This window comes from Homo sapiens, chromosome 8 (genome assembly GCF_000001405.40).
Source record: "Homo sapiens chromosome 8, GRCh38.p14 Primary Assembly".
Lineage (NCBI taxonomy): Eukaryota > Metazoa > Chordata > Mammalia > Primates > Hominidae > Homo > Homo sapiens.
The window spans coordinates 31474804-31494544 of NC_000008.11; the positions used below are offsets into that span (position 1 = coordinate 31474804).

At 40.2% G+C, this 19741-nt stretch overlaps 1 annotated feature.

Moving 5' to 3' along the window:
* Nucleotides 3856–4687: an enhancer, noted in NCBI's record as "OCT4-NANOG-H3K27ac hESC enhancer chr8:31336175-31337006 (GRCh37/hg19 assembly coordinates)". NCBI's record gives its function as "activates a minimal SCP1, AML or CMV promoter by ChIP-STARR-seq in primed H9 embryonic stem cells {active_cell/tissue: H9 hESC(primed)}" and the evidence as "EXISTENCE:reporter gene assay evidence [ECO:0000049][PMID:30033119]".

Genomic DNA, 19741 nt, shown 5'->3' on the forward strand with positions numbered 1-19741 from the left:
CTTGACTCCCATTCCAGAGGGAAATCTCAGGCAGAGTTTCTAATTTTTAAATTTCTGCCTGCTTTGGGGCTGCCAATTTCAGGAAGGTATCGCTGAGTCTTTCAGTATTGCCAGTGGAATCGAACTCCAGAAAAACTCAAAGGACACCACATGGCTATCTCCCCAGTGTCCAATAGCCTGTTCCCAATGCCATTCCCAACTCTTCTAAATTCATCTGGGGCTTAATAGACTCTCCCCATCCCAACTCTTCTAAATTCATCTGGGGCTTAATAGACTTTCCCCCTCATAGACTTCCATGATAAGCTGCTCTGTTTCACAATAGGGAAGCTTACACAGGCCTTTCCTTCAATCTCATCCTGCCCTCCCTAGCTAACAGAAATTTCTAGAAATATCTAGCCAGTGAGAGCATCCATTTCTAGTTTCATCCTATAATGTTGGTTTTCATAATGTTGGTTTTAAATGTAATTATTCATTACAAAGTATTTGTGAGGGAGTAGAGAAGAATGGGTACTTATAATAAAAGCATGACTTTTTAATGTATCAAAACTATACAGAAACAAAGACAACATAGAGATAACTCTTGAAGAAGACAGAACATCAACATCATAAGCCCCATTTCCTTATTTTGAAGTGTGGGTCTTCTATTCAATTTCTACAATAGATTTCAAATGTAATATTTGATAATGAAGGTGATGATAACAATGATATTGATGATAAGAGATGATACTGATGAGCACACTTAAGTGCTTAATTTATGATAATAATCATTGTTAACATTCATTAGCCTTATTGTATATCAGGCACTGTGCTGGCTTCTTTACACACATGATCCCAGTGAATCTCTGTAACAGGCCTATAAGAGAGACACATAAATTTATCCTCACCTTATATATGAGGAAACCAAGGAACAGACTAGTTAAGTAAGGTACCAGAGGTCACACAGATAGTAACTGACAGAACTGAGACTTGAATCCAGATCAGTCTGGCTACAGAGCCCATGTTCTTATCTACTGTCTGATTAAAAATAATATGACACATGACAGGTACAAGTTACATGAGAATTCCTTTGACATGTGAATGAATGGTTCTTTGAAGACAGAGTGCAGTAAATTCCAGTCTATAAAAGAGTTTTTTGAATAATATGATGACCAAACTTGTGTGTCCAGGGCAAAAGGAGGGTACAAATAGACAGAATATGCAAGATAGAGAAATGCTGGAGTTAAGTCTCAGATATCTTTGAAGCAAGAGTTTCATCCTTAATTTGCTTGGTGGGCATGTGTTTCTTACATATAAGATTTTTATGTTTCTGAAGCCCAGAGGATAAGATGGAGAATTCAGCTCAGGGTTGGCCTAAGGGAGGGAGGTGAACTAGCGAGAAAGAAAAAGGTCCCATAAGACACCCCAGGAAGAACCAGACTACTGAGGAAGATTCAGACTGTTGAATATTATGTTAATGAAGACAACTGAGTCACTCTATGCCTAGTGTTTATTTCTTTTGTACTTAAAGATTCCAGTGTTTTCTAGTAAAAATAACATGTCTGTACTAAAGGGACAGGTTGGCAGGAGAAATCATTAATGGGAGATGGAGGATGGCCCTGGACTATGTGTGTGTGTCTCTGTCAAGTCGTGGTGGGAACCCAGGGGAAAGGCTTTATGTTTGTGCAGATTTTTTATTTTGACTCATTCTATGTATTAAGAAATATGGAGAAGACTACAGGCATATTTTATCTTATAGGTTAAAAACAATGTAAATGACCTTAGAATGACTTTTGTGTGAGGAGCACTTTAAAAAAAAATAGAAATCTTTAGTATCCTTGAACCCCTAATGTGATTAGGTCTAATTGTGCTATCAGTATAAATATGAACAATCATGGCATTAGAAGCTGTAATTGCCTAATTATGACTTGCACTAATGTGATGATTTTTGTTAGATCTGAATCCTAACTAATAGGACTAGTCTGCCAAATCTGAAGTCAGAAATAAAAGTCAAATCAAGTATTATTTTGTGTCCCTGGGTAAATTCACCAGTACAATTTCTCCATGAGCTAGAGACCCTGGACTTCTGGCTTTTCTCTGCTATATATCTTATACCATCCCACTCAGGATGTGGGCACCTGATCATTCAATTTAAGTCATTCGTGGATGACTACTAAAGGAAAATGGCAGTAAAGGTATTGAATTAGTGTGGATTTTTATTAGCACAATATTTTATTATTCTTTAAAATTTTCCTAAGAGCTGATTAACATAAACTCTTTGCAGATTGAAATCAATCCTCTCATCAGGTAACCAACATAAAAATAATCAGGGCATTCCTGAGGGATCACATATAAAACTGACAGAGGCAATGAAGTGTCCTGCCCACTTTCCAGCATGTTCCTTATGATCACACTGCCTTCCTCCGTACCTGTTTTATCTCACCTGCCAATGTTTATTTGTTTCCTGGAGGAAAGTCTTACAAAGCACACTCCCTAAATATTATTTGAAAGTCCAGATGTACAGGAACATTTATTTCTCAGCGAGTGAGTTGTCCACTAGTGCAAGAAGCAGAGGCAATAGTTCATCTCTCTCTGTCTTTGGAAAATTTGGTGACTAGCAGTTAACACTCATAGAGAGAAAACAATGATGTATAGAAAGTCCAGCGTGGAAGACTATATTTTCTCCACTTTCCTGGTCTATTTGTGATATTTTAGTTGCTTCAACAATGACTGAAATAAGACTGGTTATACACAAGGCTGACTGCTTGGAAGCATTCTTTGTTCCTGGGTTTTAGGTGTGTGAGTGTGATAGAAGACTCCTCAGAGATCCTCCATAATAAAACCATCTAGATGACAAACAGAATGATCTGTACAACAAATTCTGAATTATAATGGGTAAAATGAAAGCAAACTCCAGAGTATTTCTTTTTGTGTCCTACAGCATTAGATATTTTGTCTGGTAGCCACATACGCAAGACCCAATCTCGTTTCAGTCTAATAAATTACATAAAGCTATTTTTGCAGTCAATTAGCATGCTGAATGTTTCAACTTCCACATGCGCATTCTCTTTCTTTTCTACAGTTTGTAAACTGCTGGAGAGGTGTGTTAACATTCTATTTCAATGTCACAGTGAGAGGAAGTGGTGATAATAGAAGGCAGGGGCAGGACATGTTGCTTTCTCGATACTTTTTTTTCTGTTTTTCTTTTTTCTTTTTTTTAAAGAGGTGGGACCTCTAAACAGATGAGTGTTAGCTCTAAGTAAAATATAGTTCTAAGCATCACAATTCTGTGCTTATATTTTAATAGGTAGTTGGTGTTTCCTAGGGCGGCTATAAAGGTATCACAAGCTGAGTGGCTTAAAACAACATAAATTTATTTTCTTCCAGTTCTAGAGGTTAGAAATCTGAAATCAAGGTGTTGGTAGGGCCATACTCTATCTGAAGGCTCTAGGGAAATTCCTCCATTGCCTCTTTCTAGTTTCTGGTGGTTGCAGGCTGTAGCTGATGTTCTTTGGCTTATAGATGCCTCGCTCCAATTTCTGCCTCCATCTTCATGTGGTCATCTTCCTAGTGTCTCTGTGTCCAAATTTTCCTCTTCTTAGAAGCACACCCAATATTGGAATTGAGTTCACCCTAATTCATTATGACCTCATCTTAACTTTGTTACATTTTCAATGACTATTTCTAAATAAGGTCACATTCTGAGATACTGGGGGTTAGAACTTTCATGTCTTTTGGGGGAACAAAATTAAATCTGTAACAAATGACAAAATGGAAAGTTTCATTCTTGCATTTGCTCAGAGAAGGGTCCCTAAGGGAATAGTTACCCATCAGATTTAGCAACTTTTTCCTAGAAGCCTCATGAGAGGGGTCAGGATGAATGCACCTGTTCTGCATATAAGGTAGGCAGCCACCCTCCAATATCATCAAATTCAACACTTTATAGTTAAAAAAAATTAGCCCAGAATCTTAAATAAGCTACAAAGTTTACAAACAACTAATGATGAAGAGGCTGAGAGTGGATTCCACTGTTGCTTGATTTCTGGCCTGGAGTTCTTCCTTCCTGCTCACACTGTGGGGGCATGTTGAGGTGCACAATGCTTCTGTGGTTACCCAGTAGGACAGTGACAGCTTGGGATGCCTCCTGTCACACTGTGAATCTTGTGAAGTTACTTTTAGGCCACCTTGTGACTAGCCACTTCAAAGTCTTTAAAAGACAGGAGGTATAAATGAAATGAATAAAACAAGAGCTTAAGCTATTATCTCTCCTCTGGGGCATTTGCATTTTAATGGAGCAGCCTGGGCTCTGTCCCAGACCTATTGATTCATAATCTCCAAGGGAGAGTCCTGGGAGAATCTGTATTTTAGAGAGCATACCAGGTGACTCAGATAGTTGGGCATGTTTAGGAAACACTGGCACAGAGAAATTCTGACTTCTGAAATAGTAAGAAAGAAATATTTACTGGAAGGATTTTAGGTAAGAGCCAGGTGGGGATGGTGGGGGAGGAAGGGAAGCTACTACTTGATGGCCTCCAAAAAACACGAGTCAGATGCATAATTCTGTATTCTTTGCCCAAAGTCTGAGGCCTGGTTTCTGCCCCAGGAGGAATTCAGAGGAAGCAGGTTTTCTGGGCTTGGAGTGTAGTATCCCTCTTAGGAGAAGCAAGAGAGATTTAGGATTGCTTATTTATTGCAGAACCCACGTCTTCTTGCAGATTGCAAAGCCAATTCTGAAACTGCCTTTGCAAAAATTAAAACAGTGAGGAAACTATGACAGTGAGGAGATCTGTCTAACTAACTCCCATCTTGCCTTTTAACCTTCCAACTGCCCTTCATCACTCCTGGGCTCAGGCCACGCTAACTTCGAAAGACATTTATTTTGTAGTTTAAATGATAATAGCCCTTCTCCCAAACTAAACCACCTTGGTACAGCTGATAAAAGACAACCAGGTTAGGAGGATGAGCAATCTGAATTCTGCTCAGGTGTTGACCTAAAGGATTACCCACCATGATTCCAGAAGTCACAAGATTTGCAAATCCCCCAATTATTGCTGCAGATAACATCTCTGGAACTAAGATTGGCCTTTTGAGATGTTTTTTCAGGTGTTTGCATTTCTGATGACCAATAGCTTCACCTGGACCTCCCCACGCCCTCTGACCAGTCCTGTGGCCCCACCCAGAAGCGGACTCCCTGGCCCACCAAACTATTATTGAAAAACCATAGCCTCCGAATTTTCTGGGAGATCGGTTTGAGTTATTACTCTGTCTCCCACATGGTGTGGCTGGCCTTGTGTCAATTAAACTCCTTCTTCATTGCAATGCTGTGGTCTCCTGAGTTGGTTTTGTCTATGCAGTGCAGGAAGAATCTGTTGGCTGGTTACAATTTTATATTAAGGGAGGGTACCCAAGAGAAAATTCTAGCCCATTTCTATTGCTTCATTTTTCACATTGCATGCAGTCAGTGGTGATGTACTTTCTCTCTCTCTTTTTTTAGAGAGAGAGTTCCTTTTTTTTTTTTTTTAGAGAGTTCCTCATTACTTGTTTTGAACCTAAAGTTATAATTTAGTGTCTGTGACAGCACATTTGATTGTTTTTAAATGAAGGTGATAGGAAAGGCAGAAGAATGACTAGGGAAGAAAATCTGGAGAACAGATGACAAGATAACATTGCTTTTGATTCTCTGCAAACAAGCATGGTATTGAAAAATGATCCAAAATCGTTTGCTTGAGCACCACAGTTACTTTTGAGTAATATTTTTGTGAGATACTTTTAAATTTATTTTTTTGAAGTCTGGTGCTCTGAAATTGAATTTGAAGTCAGCTTAATACCAAAGTGTGACACATTCTCTTTCAGCAGGCTTTACTGTATCTCACGTCTATTTAGTTTTTACAAATTTAGTTTTCATGATTTCTGCATCTTTGGAATACAAATCCTGGGATGGTTTCTATCTGAATGGAGTCTTCAGTGAATGGTGACATGGTTTCCTTTATTTTTTCCTATTTCTTTTTTTTTTGAGACAGAGTCTCGCTCTGTCGCCCAGGCTGGAGTGCAGTGGTGCGATCCCGGCTCACTACAAGCTCCACCTCCCGGGTTCATGCCATTCTCCTGCCTCAGCCTCCCGAGTAGCTGGGACTACAGGCGCCCGCCACCACGCCTGGCTAATTTTTTTTTTTTTTTTGTATTTTTAGTAGAGATGGGGTTTCACCGTGTTAGCCAGGATGGTCTCGATCTCCTGACCTCGTGATCTGCCCTCCTTGGCCTCCCAAAGTGCTTTATATCTTCTGTCTTGATTAATTTTCTTCCTCTTTGGTAACACCTGTTGTCTCTTACGGACCAACCCTGTGCTAGGGCTGAGGCACAAGGAGCTCTAAGAACCAAGCTGTGGCCGGGCACGGTGGCTCAAGCCTGTAATCCCAGCACTTTGGGAGGCCAAGGCTGTCGGATCATGAGGTCAGGAGATTGAGACCATCCTGGCTAACACGGTGAAACCCCGTCTCTACTAAAAATACAAAAATTAGCCGGGCATGGTGGTGGGCGCCTGTAGTCCCAGCTACTCTGGAGGCTGAGACAGGAGAATGGTGCGAACCCGGGAGGTGGAGCTTGCAGTGAGCCGAGATCGCGCCACTGCACTCCAGCCTGGGCGACAGAGCGAGACTCACTCTCCAAAAAAAAAAAAAAAAAAAAAAAAAAAGAACCAAGTTGTGAGTGAGAAGGACCTGGAAAGGCACTGTTAGTGGCAGTGGATCCGTAGGGGTCTGCAGGAACCTCAACTCTTGCGTCCTCAGAAGAATTCGACGGAGGAGGCATGAGGCAGAAGGAGAGACAGAGGCAAGTTTTATAGCAGAAGTGAAAGTTTATTTAAAAGCTTTAGAGAGCAGGAATGAAAGAAAGGAAAGTACACTTGGAAGAGGGCCAAGCAGGTGACTTGAGAGACCAAGTGCGCTGTTTGACCTTGACTTACGGTTTAGTATATTGGCATACTTCTGGGGTCTTGTGTCCCTGATTTCCTGATTTTTCCCTGGAGGGTGCGCCGTCTGTATGCGCAGTGGCCTACTAGCGTTTGGGAGAGGCCGTAGGCGCAGTGTGTTTACTGGAGTTGTACGCATGCTCCCTAGAGTGGTTCTTCCCTTCCCGGTCTAGCATTCCTAGGGGAAAGTGATGTACCAGTTAAGCTCTGCTGTTTTGCCTCTTAGTGCTCATGCTTGAGCCCACTCGCCCAATTCCTGAAATCTTAGGGGGAAGCGGCTGATCACCAGTTTCAGATTTTTCCTATGTATTGTGAGACTGCCTTTCCCTGGCACAGGCTGCAACTAATTATTATTTTAGAGACACAGTAAACAACCACTTGATCATCACCTGATGGTCAGCTGGTGTGTGTATGGGGGGGTTGGGAGGGCCCTCTCCTGCCCTGCTCATGTGTGATTAGCTACCCAGTTTAACAGGACCATGTTATTGCATCATTAAAAGTGAAGTATTATGCCCTATGTCAGGAGGGTAGAGGTGCACAGATAAGGTCAGTGGACCCCAGTTAAGGGGGCAGGGAATACTTCCTGGAATAAATTACATTTGAGCTGAAACTTGAAGGATGTATTTAGGTGATGTAGACAAGTGGTTGGAGCAGAGATCTCATCTGTACCCACATACTCCACCTTCCCTCTTGCTGCAATTGATTATCTACTCCCATGTAAGACAAGCCCTTGACTTATACACTACCTCTCATCCTCTGATATTTTCAAGTAGCTCATTCTGCAGTTGGCTCTTCATCCTGCAGTGGCAATTTTTACTATTTACATGGTCTTTTGCATAAACATGCAATATTTTCTTTCTTTGAAAGCAAAACAAAACTCCCTTAATCCACATTCACCTCCAGTATATGTCTCATTTTTCTGTTACTCTACAGCCAAATTCCTTGAAATTGTTACTTATATTCACATCTCCATTTCTTTGCATTGCGTACTTCCTGAAGCTCATTGCAATTATAGTTTCATCCTTGCCATTTCACTGAAATCACTCTTGTCAAGGTCACCCACTGCCTCCCATAATGCCAGAGTGGTCAATTTTTAGTATCCTTACTGTGCAACCAGCTCTCATGATTGTACCCAGTCAAATCTCTATAATAAATTATACATCTCTCTACAGACCTGGACTGAAACATTGCTATTTGGTGTTTTACCCTATTTAGAGCCAAAATATATTTTCATAAGAAGAAACTCACAGCTGTCACATGTAAGTAAGTTATAAACTGATTTCAGAATCTCCAATACAGAAAATAGTAACTTTAGTGTTCCTATTGTTTGGTACTCTAATAATAATTAGAGAAAACTGAGAGTTTGGGATTATGTGACTACAGGAAATACCTGTAATTGCCAATTGGCTTCATAATAAGAAAATTGGCAGGGCTAAGAAGGCCCAGGGAATTAAGAATATAAATGTAGAGGTTAACATGGAGAACTACTTAGCATGAAAGAATATGGATGTTTCATTTAATTTTTTTCATATCAAAAATCTCTCTTCTTGTACCAATTTCTGCTCATTGGCTTATAGCAGGTACAGTTCAGGGACTCTAGCATTGATTAGTATAAGTTCCTAATTTTCAGGTGAAGGCACTGAGGCCCAGGAGAGTGAAGGGCTTGAGGTCAAACACCCATGAATGGAGAAGGCTTCTGGCCCCCTCCAATCCCCTCTGCATCTCACTAACAGGACTGGAAGCTGCTGAAACAGAGGTATTGGAAGCCCACAGATCATCAATATACAGTTTGAACTTGTAGTGAGGTAGACAAGAATAATTCATAGGGATGTATTATAGAGTAGGTAGAGAAGGCTGACTCCTGACAGTGGCATATTTGATAAAAATCCCCCCAAAGGCATTTAGTACCTGGTAGGCTAATGGCTCATGAGAGAAAACACAAGAAAGGAGATGATATGGGAGGGTGGGAAAGCCAATCTTTAGGTAAAAAATTACAAGTCGTCTTTAAACTATTTACTTTAAAAATTACTAGTTTTTCTGCTCTGCATGCTAATATGCTACTCTTTTTTTCTCAACTTTATTATTTCTCTTTGAATGTATATTAGTCCATTCTTACATTGCTATAAAGAAATATCGGAGACTAGGTAATTTATAAAGAAAAGAGGTTTAATTGCCTCATGGTTTCATAGGCTGTTTGGGTAGCATGGCTGGGGAGGCCTCAGGAAACTTTTAATCATGGTGGAAAGTGAAGGGGAAGTAGGGACGTCTTACATGACCAGAGCAGGAGGAAGAGAGAGAAGGGGGAGATGGTGCACACTTTTTTTTTTTTAAGCTTTGTATCTAATTTGGCAATCTTATTCCAGTATTTTTCTTTTTCTTTTTTTTTTTATTATACTTTAAGTTCTAGGGTACATATGCACAATGTGCAGGTTTGTTACATATGTATACATGTGCCATGTTGGTGTGCTGCACCTATTACCTCGTCATTTACATTAGGTATATCTCCTAATGCTTTCCCTCCCCCCTCCCCCACCCCATGACAGGCCCTGGTGTGTGATGTTCCCCTTCCTGTGTCCAAGTGTTCTCATTGTTCAATTCCCACCTATGAGTGAGAACATGCGGTGTTTGTTTTTTTTTGTCCTTGTGATAGTTTTCTGAGAATGATGGTTTCCAGCTTCATCCATGTCCTTACAAAGGACATGAACTCATCCATTTTTATGGCTGCATAGTATTCCATGGTGTATATGTGCCACATTTTCTTAATCCAGTCTATCATTGATGGACATTTGGGTTGGTTCCAAGTCTTCGCTATTGTGAATAGTGCCGCAATAAACATACGTGTGCATGTGTCTTTATAGCAGCATGACTTCTAATCCTTTGGGTATATACCCAGTAATGGGATGGCTGGGTCAAATGATATTTCTAGTTCTAGATCCCTGAGGAATCGCCACACTGTCTTCTACAATGGTTGAACTAGTTTACCGTCTCACCAACAGTGTAAAAGTGTTCCTATTTCTCTACATCATCTCCAGCACCTGTTGTTTCCTGACTTTTTAATGATTGCCATTCTAACTGGTGTGAGATGGTATCTGATTGTGGTTTTGATTTGCATTTCTCGGATGGCCAGTGATGATGAGCATTTTTTCATGTGTCTGTTGGCTGCATAAATGTCTTCTTTTGAGAAGTGTCTGTTCATATCCTTCGTCCACTTTTTGATGGGGTTGTTTGTTTTTTTCTTGTAAATTTGTTTGAGTTCTTTGTAGATTTTGGATATTAGCCCTTTGTCAGATAAGTAGATTGCAAAAATTTTCTCCCATTCTGTAGGTTGTCTGTTCACTCTGATGGTAGTTTCTTTTGCCGTGCAGAAGCCCTTTAGTTTAATTAGATCTCATTTGTCAATTTTGGCTTTTGTTGCCATTGCTTTTGGTGTTTTAGACATGAAGTCCTTGACCATGCCTATGTCCTGAATGGTATTGCCTAGGTTTTCTCCTAGGGTTTTTATGGTTTTAGGTCTAACATGTAAGTCTTTAATCCATCTTGAATTAATTTTTGTGTAAGGTATAAGGAAGGGATCCAGTTTCAGCTTTCTACATATGGCTAGCCAGTTTTCCCAGCACCATTTGTTAAATAGGGAATTGTTTCCCCATTTCTTGTTTTTGTCAGGATTGTCAAAGATCAGATGGTTGTAGATGTGTGGTATTATTTCTGAGGGCTCTGTTCTGTTCCATTGGTGTATATCTCTGTTTTGTTACCACTACCTGCTGTTTTGGTTACTGTAGCCTTGTAGTATAGTTTGAAGTCAGGTAGTGTGATGCCTCCAGCTTTGTTCTTTTGGCTTAGGATTGTCTTGGCAATGTGAGCTCTTTTCAGATTCCATATGAACTTTAAAGTAGTTTTTTCCAATTCTGTGAAGCAAGTCATTGGTAGCTTGATGGGGATGTCATTGAATCTATAAATTACCTTGGGCAGTAAGGCCATTTTCATGATATTGATTCTTCCTACCCATGAGCATGGAATTTTCTTCCATTCGTTTGTATCCTCTTTTATTTCATTGAGCAGTGGTTTGTAGTTCTTGAAGAGGTCCTTCACATCCCTTGTAAATTGGATTCCTAGGTATTTTATTCTCTTTGAAGCAATTGTGAATGGGAGTTCACTCATGATTTGGCTCTCTGTTTGTCTGTTATTGGTGTGTAAGAATGCTTGTGATTTTTGCACATTGATTTTGTATCCTGAGACTTTGCTGAAGTTGCTTATCAACTGAAGGAGATTTTGGGCTGAGACAATGGGGTTTTCTAAATATACAATCATGTCATCTGCAAACAGGGACAATTTGACTTCCTCTTTTCCTAACTGAATAACCTTTATTTCTTTCTCCTGCCTGTTATTATGTTGAATAGGAGTGGTGAGGGAGGGCATCCCTGTGTTGTGCCAGTTTTCAAAGGGAATGCTTTGAGTTTTTGTCCATTCAGTATGATATTGGCTGTGGGTTTGTCATAAATAGCTCTTGTTTTTTTGAGATACACCCCATCAATACCTAATTTATTGAAAGTTTTTAGCATGAAGGGCTGTTGAATTTTGTCAAAGGGCTTTTCTTCATCTATTGAGATAATCATGTGGTTTTTGTCTTTGGTTCTGTTTGTATGCTGGATTACATTTATTGATTTGCATATGTTGAACCATCCTCGCATCCCAAGGATGAAGCCCAGGTGATCATGGTGGATAAGCTTTTTGATGTGCTGCTGGATTAGGTTTGCCAGTATTTTATTGAGGATTTTTGCACAAATGTTCATCTGGGATGTTGGTCTAAAATTCTCTTTTTTTGTTGTGTCTCTGCCAGGCTTTGGTATCAGGATAATGCTGGCCTCATGAAATGAGTTAGGGAGGATTCTCTCTTTTTCTATTGATTGGAATAGTTTCAGAAGGAAGGGTACCAGCTCCTCCTTGTACCTCTGGTAGAATTCGGCTGTGAATCCATCTGGTCCTGGACTTCTTTTGGTTGGTAGGCTATTAATTATTGCCTTAATTTCAGAGCCTGTTATTGATCTATTCAGGGATTCAACTTCTTCCTGGTTTAGTTTTGGGAGGGTGTATGTGTCCAGGAATTTTTCCATTTCTTCTAGATTTTCTAGTTTATTTACATAGAAGTGTTTATAGTATTCTCTGATGGTAGTTTGTATTTCTGCGGGATTGGTGGTGATATCCCCTTTATCATTTTTTATTGAGTCCATTTGATTCTTCTCTCTTTTCTTCTTTATTATTCTTGCTAGCTGTCTATCAATTTTGTTGATCTTTTCAAAAAACCAGCTGCTGGATTCATTGATTTTTTGAAGGGTTTTTTTTGTATCTGTATTTCCTTCAGTTCTTCTCTGATCTTAGTTATTTCTTGCCGTCTGCTAGCTTTTGAATGTGTGTTCTCTTGCTTCTCTAGTTCTTTTAATTGTGATGTTACGGTGTCAATTTTAGATCTTTCCTGCTTTCTCTTGTGGGCATTTAGTGTTATAAATTTCCCTCTACACTGCTTTAAATGTGTCCCATTTAAAGGTGATTTGGGGTGGAGAGTTCTTTAGATGTCTATTAGGTCCACTTGGTGCAGAGCTGAGTTCAACTCCTGGATATCCTTGTTAACTTTCTGTCTCGTTGATCTGTCTAATGTTGACAGTGGGGTGTTAAATTCTCTCATTATTATTGTGTGGGAGTCTAAGTCTCTTTGTAGGTCTCTAAGGACTTGCTTTATGTATCTGGGTGCTCCTGTATTGGGTGCATATATATTTAAGATAGTTAGCTCTTCTTGTTGAATTGATCCCTTTACCATTATGTAATGACCTTCTTTGTCTCTTTTGATCTTTATTGGTTTAAAGTCTGTTTTATCAGAGACTAGGATTGCAACCCCTGCCTTTTTTTGTTTTCCATTTGCTTGGTTGATCTTCCTCCATCCCTTTATTTTGAGTCTATGTGTGTCTCTGCATGTGAGCTGGGTCTCCTGAATACAGCACACTGATGGGTCTTGACTCTTTATCCAATTTGCCAGTCTGTGTCTTATAATTGGTACATTTATCCCATTTACATTTAAGGTTAATATTGTTATGTGTGAATTTGATTCTGTCATTATGATGTTAGCTGGCTATTTTGCTTGTTAGTTAATGCAGTTTCTTCCTAGCATCAGTGGTCTTTACAATTTGTCATGTTTTTGCAGTCGCTGGTACCAGTTGTTCCTTTCCATGTTTAGTGCTTCCTTCAGGAGCTCTTTTAGGGCAGGCCTGGTGGTGACAAAATCTCTCAGCATTTGCTTCTCTGTAAAGAATTCTGTTTCTCCTTCACTTATGAAGCTTAGTTTGGCTGGATATGAAATTCTGGTTTGAAAATTCTTTTCTTTAAGAATGTTGAATATTGGCCCCACTCTCTTCTGGCTTCTAGAGTTTCTGCCAAGAGATCTACTGTTAGTCTGAAGGGTTTCCCTTTGTGGGCAACCCGACCTTTCTCTCTGGCTGCCCTTAACATTTTTTCCTTCATTTCAACTTTGGTGAATCTGACAATTACGTTTCTTGGAGTTGCTCTTCTCAAGGAGTATCTTTGTGGCGTTCTCTGTATTTCCTGAATTTGAATGTTGGCCTGCCTTGCTAGGTTGGGGAAGTTCTCCTGGATAATACCCTGCAGAGTGTTTTCCAACTTGGTTCCATTCTCCCCATCACTTTCAGGTACACCAATCAGATGTAGATTTGGTCTTTTCACATAGTCCCATATTTCTTGAAGGCTTTGTTTGTTTCTTTTTACTCTTTTTTCTCTAGACTTCTCTTCTCACTTCATTTCATTCATTTGATCCTCAGTCACTGATATCCTTTGTTCCAGTTGATCGAATCAGCTACTGAAGCTTGTGCATTCATTACATAGTTCTCATGCCATGTTTTTCAGCTCCATCACGTCATTTAAGGACTCCTCTACATTGGTTATTCTAGTTAGCCATTCGTCTAATCTTTTTTCAAGGTTTTTAGCTTTTTTTGCAATGCGTTCTAACTTCCTCCTTTAGCTTGGAGAAGTTTGATCTTCTGAAGCCTTCTTCTTTCAACTCGTCAAAGTCATTCTCCATCCAGCTTTGTTCCATTGCTGGTGAGGAACTGTGTTCCTTTGGAGAGGGAGAGGCGCTCTGATTTTTAGAATTTTCAGCGTTTCTGCTCTGTTTTTTCCCCATCTTTGTGGTTTTATCTACCTTTGGTCTTTGATGATGGTGACGTACAGATGGGGTTTTGGTGTGGATGTCCTTTCTGTTTCTTAGTTTTCCTTCTAACAGTTAGGGTCCTCAGCTGCAGGTCTGTTGGAGTTTACTGGAGGTCCACTCCAGACCCTGTTTGCCTGGATATCAGCAGTGGAGGCTGCAGAACAGTGAATATTGCTGAACAGCAAATGTTGCTGCTTGATTGTTCCTCTGGAAGCTTCATCTCAGAGGGGTACCTGGCTGTGTGAGGTGTCAGTCTGCCCCTACTGGGGAGTGTCTCCCAGTTAGGCTACTCAGGGTTCAGGGACCCACTTGAGGAGGCAGTCTGTCTGTTCTCAGATCTCAAACTCCATTCTGGGAGAACCACTACTCTCTTCAAAGCTGTCAGACAGGGACATTTAAGTCTGCAGAGGTTTCTGCTGCCTTTTGTTTGGCTGTGCCCTGCCCCCAGAGGTGGCATCTACAGAGGCAGGCAGGCCTCCTTGAGCTGCGGTGAGCTCCACCCAGTTCGAGCTTCCTGGCTGCTTTGTTTACCTGCTCAAGCCTCAGCAATGGTGGGCGCCCCACCCCCAGCCTCACTGCAGCCTTGCAGTTTGATCTCAGACTGCTGTGCTAGCAATGAAGGGGGCTCCGTGGGCATGGGACCCTCTGAGCCATGTGTGGGATATAATCTCCTGGTGTGCCGTTTGCTAAGACCGTTGGAAAAGGGCAATATTAGTGAGAGGTGACAGCATGCTGGCAGCCCTCACAGCCCTCGCTTGCTCTCAGCACCTCCTCTGCCTGGGCTCCCACTTTGGCAGCACTTGAGGAGCCCTTCAGCCCACCGCTGCACTGTGGGAGCCCCTTTCTGGGCTGGCCAAGGCTGGAGCCGGCTCCCTCAGCTTGCAGGGAGGTGTGGAAGGAGAGGTGCGAGCGGCAACCAGGGCTGCACAGGGTGCTTACGGGCCAGCTGGAGTTCTGGGTGGGCATGGGCTTGGTGGGCCCTGCCAGAGGGCCCTCTCAGAGTGGCCACCTGGCCCTGCCAGCCCTGGGGAATGAGGAGCTTAGCACCCGGACCAGCGGCTGCGCAGGGTGTGCTGGGTCCCCCAGCAGTGCCAGCCCACCAGTGCTGTGCTCGATTTCTCTCCAGGCCTTAGCTGCCTTCCTGTGGGGCAGGGCTCGGGACCTGCAGCCCGCCATGCCTGAGTCCCGCCCCCACCCCCACGGGCTCCTGTGCAGCCTGAGCCTCCCCGACGAGCGCTGCCCACTGCTCCATGGTGCCCAGTCCCATCGACCACCCAAGGGCTGAGGAGTGTGGGCGCACAGCACAGGACTGGCAGGCAGCTCCACCAGCAGCCCCAGTGCGAGATCCACTGGGTGAGGCCAGCTGGGCTCCTGTGTCTAGTGGGAACTTGGAGAACCTTTATGTCTAGCTAAGGGATTGTAAATACACCAATCAGCACTCTGTCTCTAGCTCAAGGTTTGTAAACACACCAATCAGCACCCTGTGTCTAGCTCAGGTTTTGTGAATACACCAATCGACACTCTGTGTCTAGCTACTCTGGTGGGGACTTGGAAAACTTTTATGTCTAGCTAAGAGATTGTAAATAACACCAATCGACACTCTGTATCTAGCTACTCTGGTGGGGACTTGGAGAACCTTTGTGTCCAGCTCAGGGATTTTAAACACACCAATCAGCACCCTGTCAAAACAGACCACTCGGCTCTCTGTAAAATGGACCAATCAGCAGGATGTGGGTGGGGCCAGATAAGAGAATAAAAGCAGGCTGCCCGAGCCAGCAGTGGCAACCGGCTGGGGTCCCCTTCCACACTGTGGAAGCTTTGTTCTTTCGCTCTTTGAAATAAATCTTGCTGCTGCTCAATCTTTGGGTACACACTGCCTTTATGAGCTGTAACACTCACTGTGAAGGTCTGCAGCTTCACTCCTGAAGCCAGCAAGACCATGAACCCACCGGGAGGAATGAACAACTCCAGACGCGCCACCTTAAGACCCGTAACACTCACCGCAAAGGTCTGCAGCTTCACTCCTGAGCCAAAGAGACCACGAACCCACCAGAAGGAAGAAACTCTGAACACATCCGAACATCAGAAGGAACAGACTCCAGACGATCCACCTTAAGAGCTGTAACACTCACCGTGAAGGTCCGCGGCTTCATTCTTGAAGTCAGTGAGACTAAGAACCCACCAATTCCGGACACATTAGGGTGTGAGTGACCCGATTTTCCAGGTGCTGTCTGTCACCCTTTTCCTTGGCTAGGAAAGGGAATTCCCTGACCCCTTGTGCTTCCCGGGTGAGGCAATGCCTCGCCCTGCTTTGGCTCACACTTGGTGTGCTGCACCCACTGTTCTGCCCCCACTGACTGACGAGCCCCAGTGAGATGAACCCAGCACCTTAGTTGGAAATGCAGAAATCATCCGTCTTCTGCGTTGCTCACACTGGGAGCTGTAGACTGGAGCTGTTTCTATTTGGCCATCTTGGAACCACCTTCCCAATAGTACACATTTTTAAACAACCAGATCTCATGAGAACTCACTCACTATCATGAGAACAGCAAGGGGGAAATCAGCCCCCATGATCTAGTCACCTCCCAACAGGTCCCTCCTCCAACATTGGGGATTATAATTTGACATGAAATATTGGTGGGGACACAAATCCAAACCATATTAGAATATATGCACAGGAAATGGCCTAAAGATGTCATATGCCCTTGGTTTTACTTAGAGTTTGAAAATCAGGTTATGAGGTCACTTATTTCAGACAGTAGTTCACATTATTTAACTATCCTCTGTCACTTTTAGAGTTTTTATTTTATTAAAGGCTTTAATTGGTAATACTCATTTCTTTTTCTTTTATTAGCATTGATTTTACTTTCTGTAGAAATACAGAAAGCATTTTCAAATGCTAATTTTATTATGTCTGTATCTGGTAGAAGATTCAAAACATTGCTCCAAAAACACTTGGCAGCAAATTCCCCATTCACTGGCAACCTGAAATGTAAGTTTATTGAGCATGAATGATAATTCGTTATCAGATGTAAGTCTTGGCTCTAATTACAAGATGCTTGTAGTCCAACATGTAGTCTAACACCTTATACTCTGATCAAGTATAAGAAAGAGGCCAATTTACTAGTAGAAATTGCAACAATGAATAGGAAAAAAATGTACGCTGCAAAGCAGAGCACTGTGAGAGAAGAATGTATGGTATATTCATAGTGGTTGAGGGGGAGAGGATTAATAGCTTTTGGACATATTACAGAATGTTAATTACATGCAAAACAAAATAGTTCTGTATAGGGAAGTGTGAATGCTGTACATAGCATGTGACTAGCTTGCATTTAATGGGGAAAAGAATTTAACTAGATAATTAGTATATATCAAATGCAATTTATGTGTCAGACATCATGCTATTTATGTATTTTACACAATTATTATCAAAATGTAATACATTACCAATGACTAGAAATAATAGTTGAAGAATAAGAATAGTTTCATAAAAAGTGTAGGATAATTGAATCAGAGAGAGACATTCAGAGAAGAAAAACGTTATGAAAAATTTTAAGTAGTAGTTTGAAGGAAGAAAAAAGAGTTTTCCAAAAAGAAAATGTCTGGAAATATAAAGCAATTCAAAATTTGAGAAGCAGAGGTTTTGCTTTAGTAAGGAGAGGGTAAATAGATATGGCTGGTAGAGTGTAGACTGTGACCAGAGCAGCGATTCTCTTGGCTTATAAGAGGAAACTGCTGGGTAATCCCAAAGGGCCTTGAATTGTTGATGAAATGTAAGTTCTTTGTGGAGTTAATTTTGGTCAAACATTGACCAAAATGTTTATAAATTTCCTTTTTTCGTGGTAAAATAAAATTGTCTTATGATTGCTTCTTGAGTGAATTTTTAAGGATATTAAAAGTTGGTATTCCTTAAAAGTTAACCTTTTACGGTTAATAAACTATTGCTATAGTTTATTATGGTCTTTGATTCATTTTTCTACTAGGTTACTTGAGACTGCTACACAACATCAAAAAAATTCTAATGCACATGGGCACAGGTTTATTGTTTGAATTCCCATAAAAATTTAAAACATCACTGAAATGGCAAAGTTGATTTAACATTAAATGTAACATATCACATTAAAAATAGAAGATACTAAAGAAAAAATATACAAATATTGTAGTAGATGGAGGAAAACTTCTCTATGCATTAATGATAAAAATTATCAGGAAGTTCAGAGTAGAAGGAAAAGTTTTCAACCTGAAAAACCATTTTTACTAAAAGCCTACAGCAAACATCATGCTTGAAGATTAAATAGTAGAAACACTCCTTTTAAAATGAAACATGACAGACATGCATATGTTTTTATTTTTTGCTTTTTTCTCTCTTTTTCTTGCTCTCCCAGTCTTCCTCTTTTTTCTTTTTTAGTATTATATTGGAGGTCTCAGAATGCTCAGGAAGACAAGAAAACAAAAATATATTGGAATATGAGCGGAAGACTTTTTTTGTCATTACTTATAATTGATAAAATTAACTTCACAGAAAGTCCTCTACAACATACAGGAAAACTATTTGAATTAGTATGAAAGCTTAGTGACAGTATTGGATATACAAAATATAAATCTCAATTGCAAATCTATACACAAGGATGAAAGATTAGGAAATATATTTTAAAATATATTATTTACAAGAGCAGTAAAATATATTAAGGTCCTAGTAATAAATCAAATAAAGATGTGCAAGACCTCAAAGAAGAAAATCCAGAAAACTTTATTCAACAATGTTAAAGAAGAGAGACAGATCATAGGGAGACACAATAGCATAAAGGTCCAAATTCTTTCCAAATTGATATATAGTCTAATGCAATTTAATAAAAATCCCAAACACTAATTTTTATGAGATTAGACAAGCTGATTCTAATATATACATGGAAGAACAAACGGCCAAGAATAGCCAACATATGCTTAAAGAAACAAAATCAAGGGGCTTATAATAATGCTGCTATAATTAAGAATGGATGATTATGTAGATCAATGGAATAGAACAGAAAGTTCAGAAATTGACATGTTAATTTAGGGAAATTAAATATTTTGAAAAGGTAGCATTGAATATTAGTGAGCAAATAATTCTTTTATTAAGTCACCTGGTACAATGATTATTTATATAGAAAATTTATAATTGGATCTCTACTTCACATCATATATGAAATTCAATTCCAGGCAGATTTAGGATTTAGATGTGAAAAACAAAACTTTAAAATATTTAGAGAATAAATGTTTAAGAATATTTTACAGGGTAGGGGAAAATTTCTTAAGCAATCACATGTAGCATAATGTCAAAATGGAAAGGCTGATAAATTAGATTTAAACAATCTAATTTTAAATTAGATTTAAACAGTCTAATTTTAAATTAGATTTAAACAGTCTAATTTTAAATTAGATTTAAACAGTCTAATTTTAAATTAGATTTAAACAGACTAATTTTAAATTAGATTTAAACAGTCTAATTTTAAATTAGATTTAAACAGTCTAATTTTAAATTAGATTTAAACAGTCTAATTTTAAATTAGATTTAAACAGTCTAATTTTAAATTAGATTTAAAAAA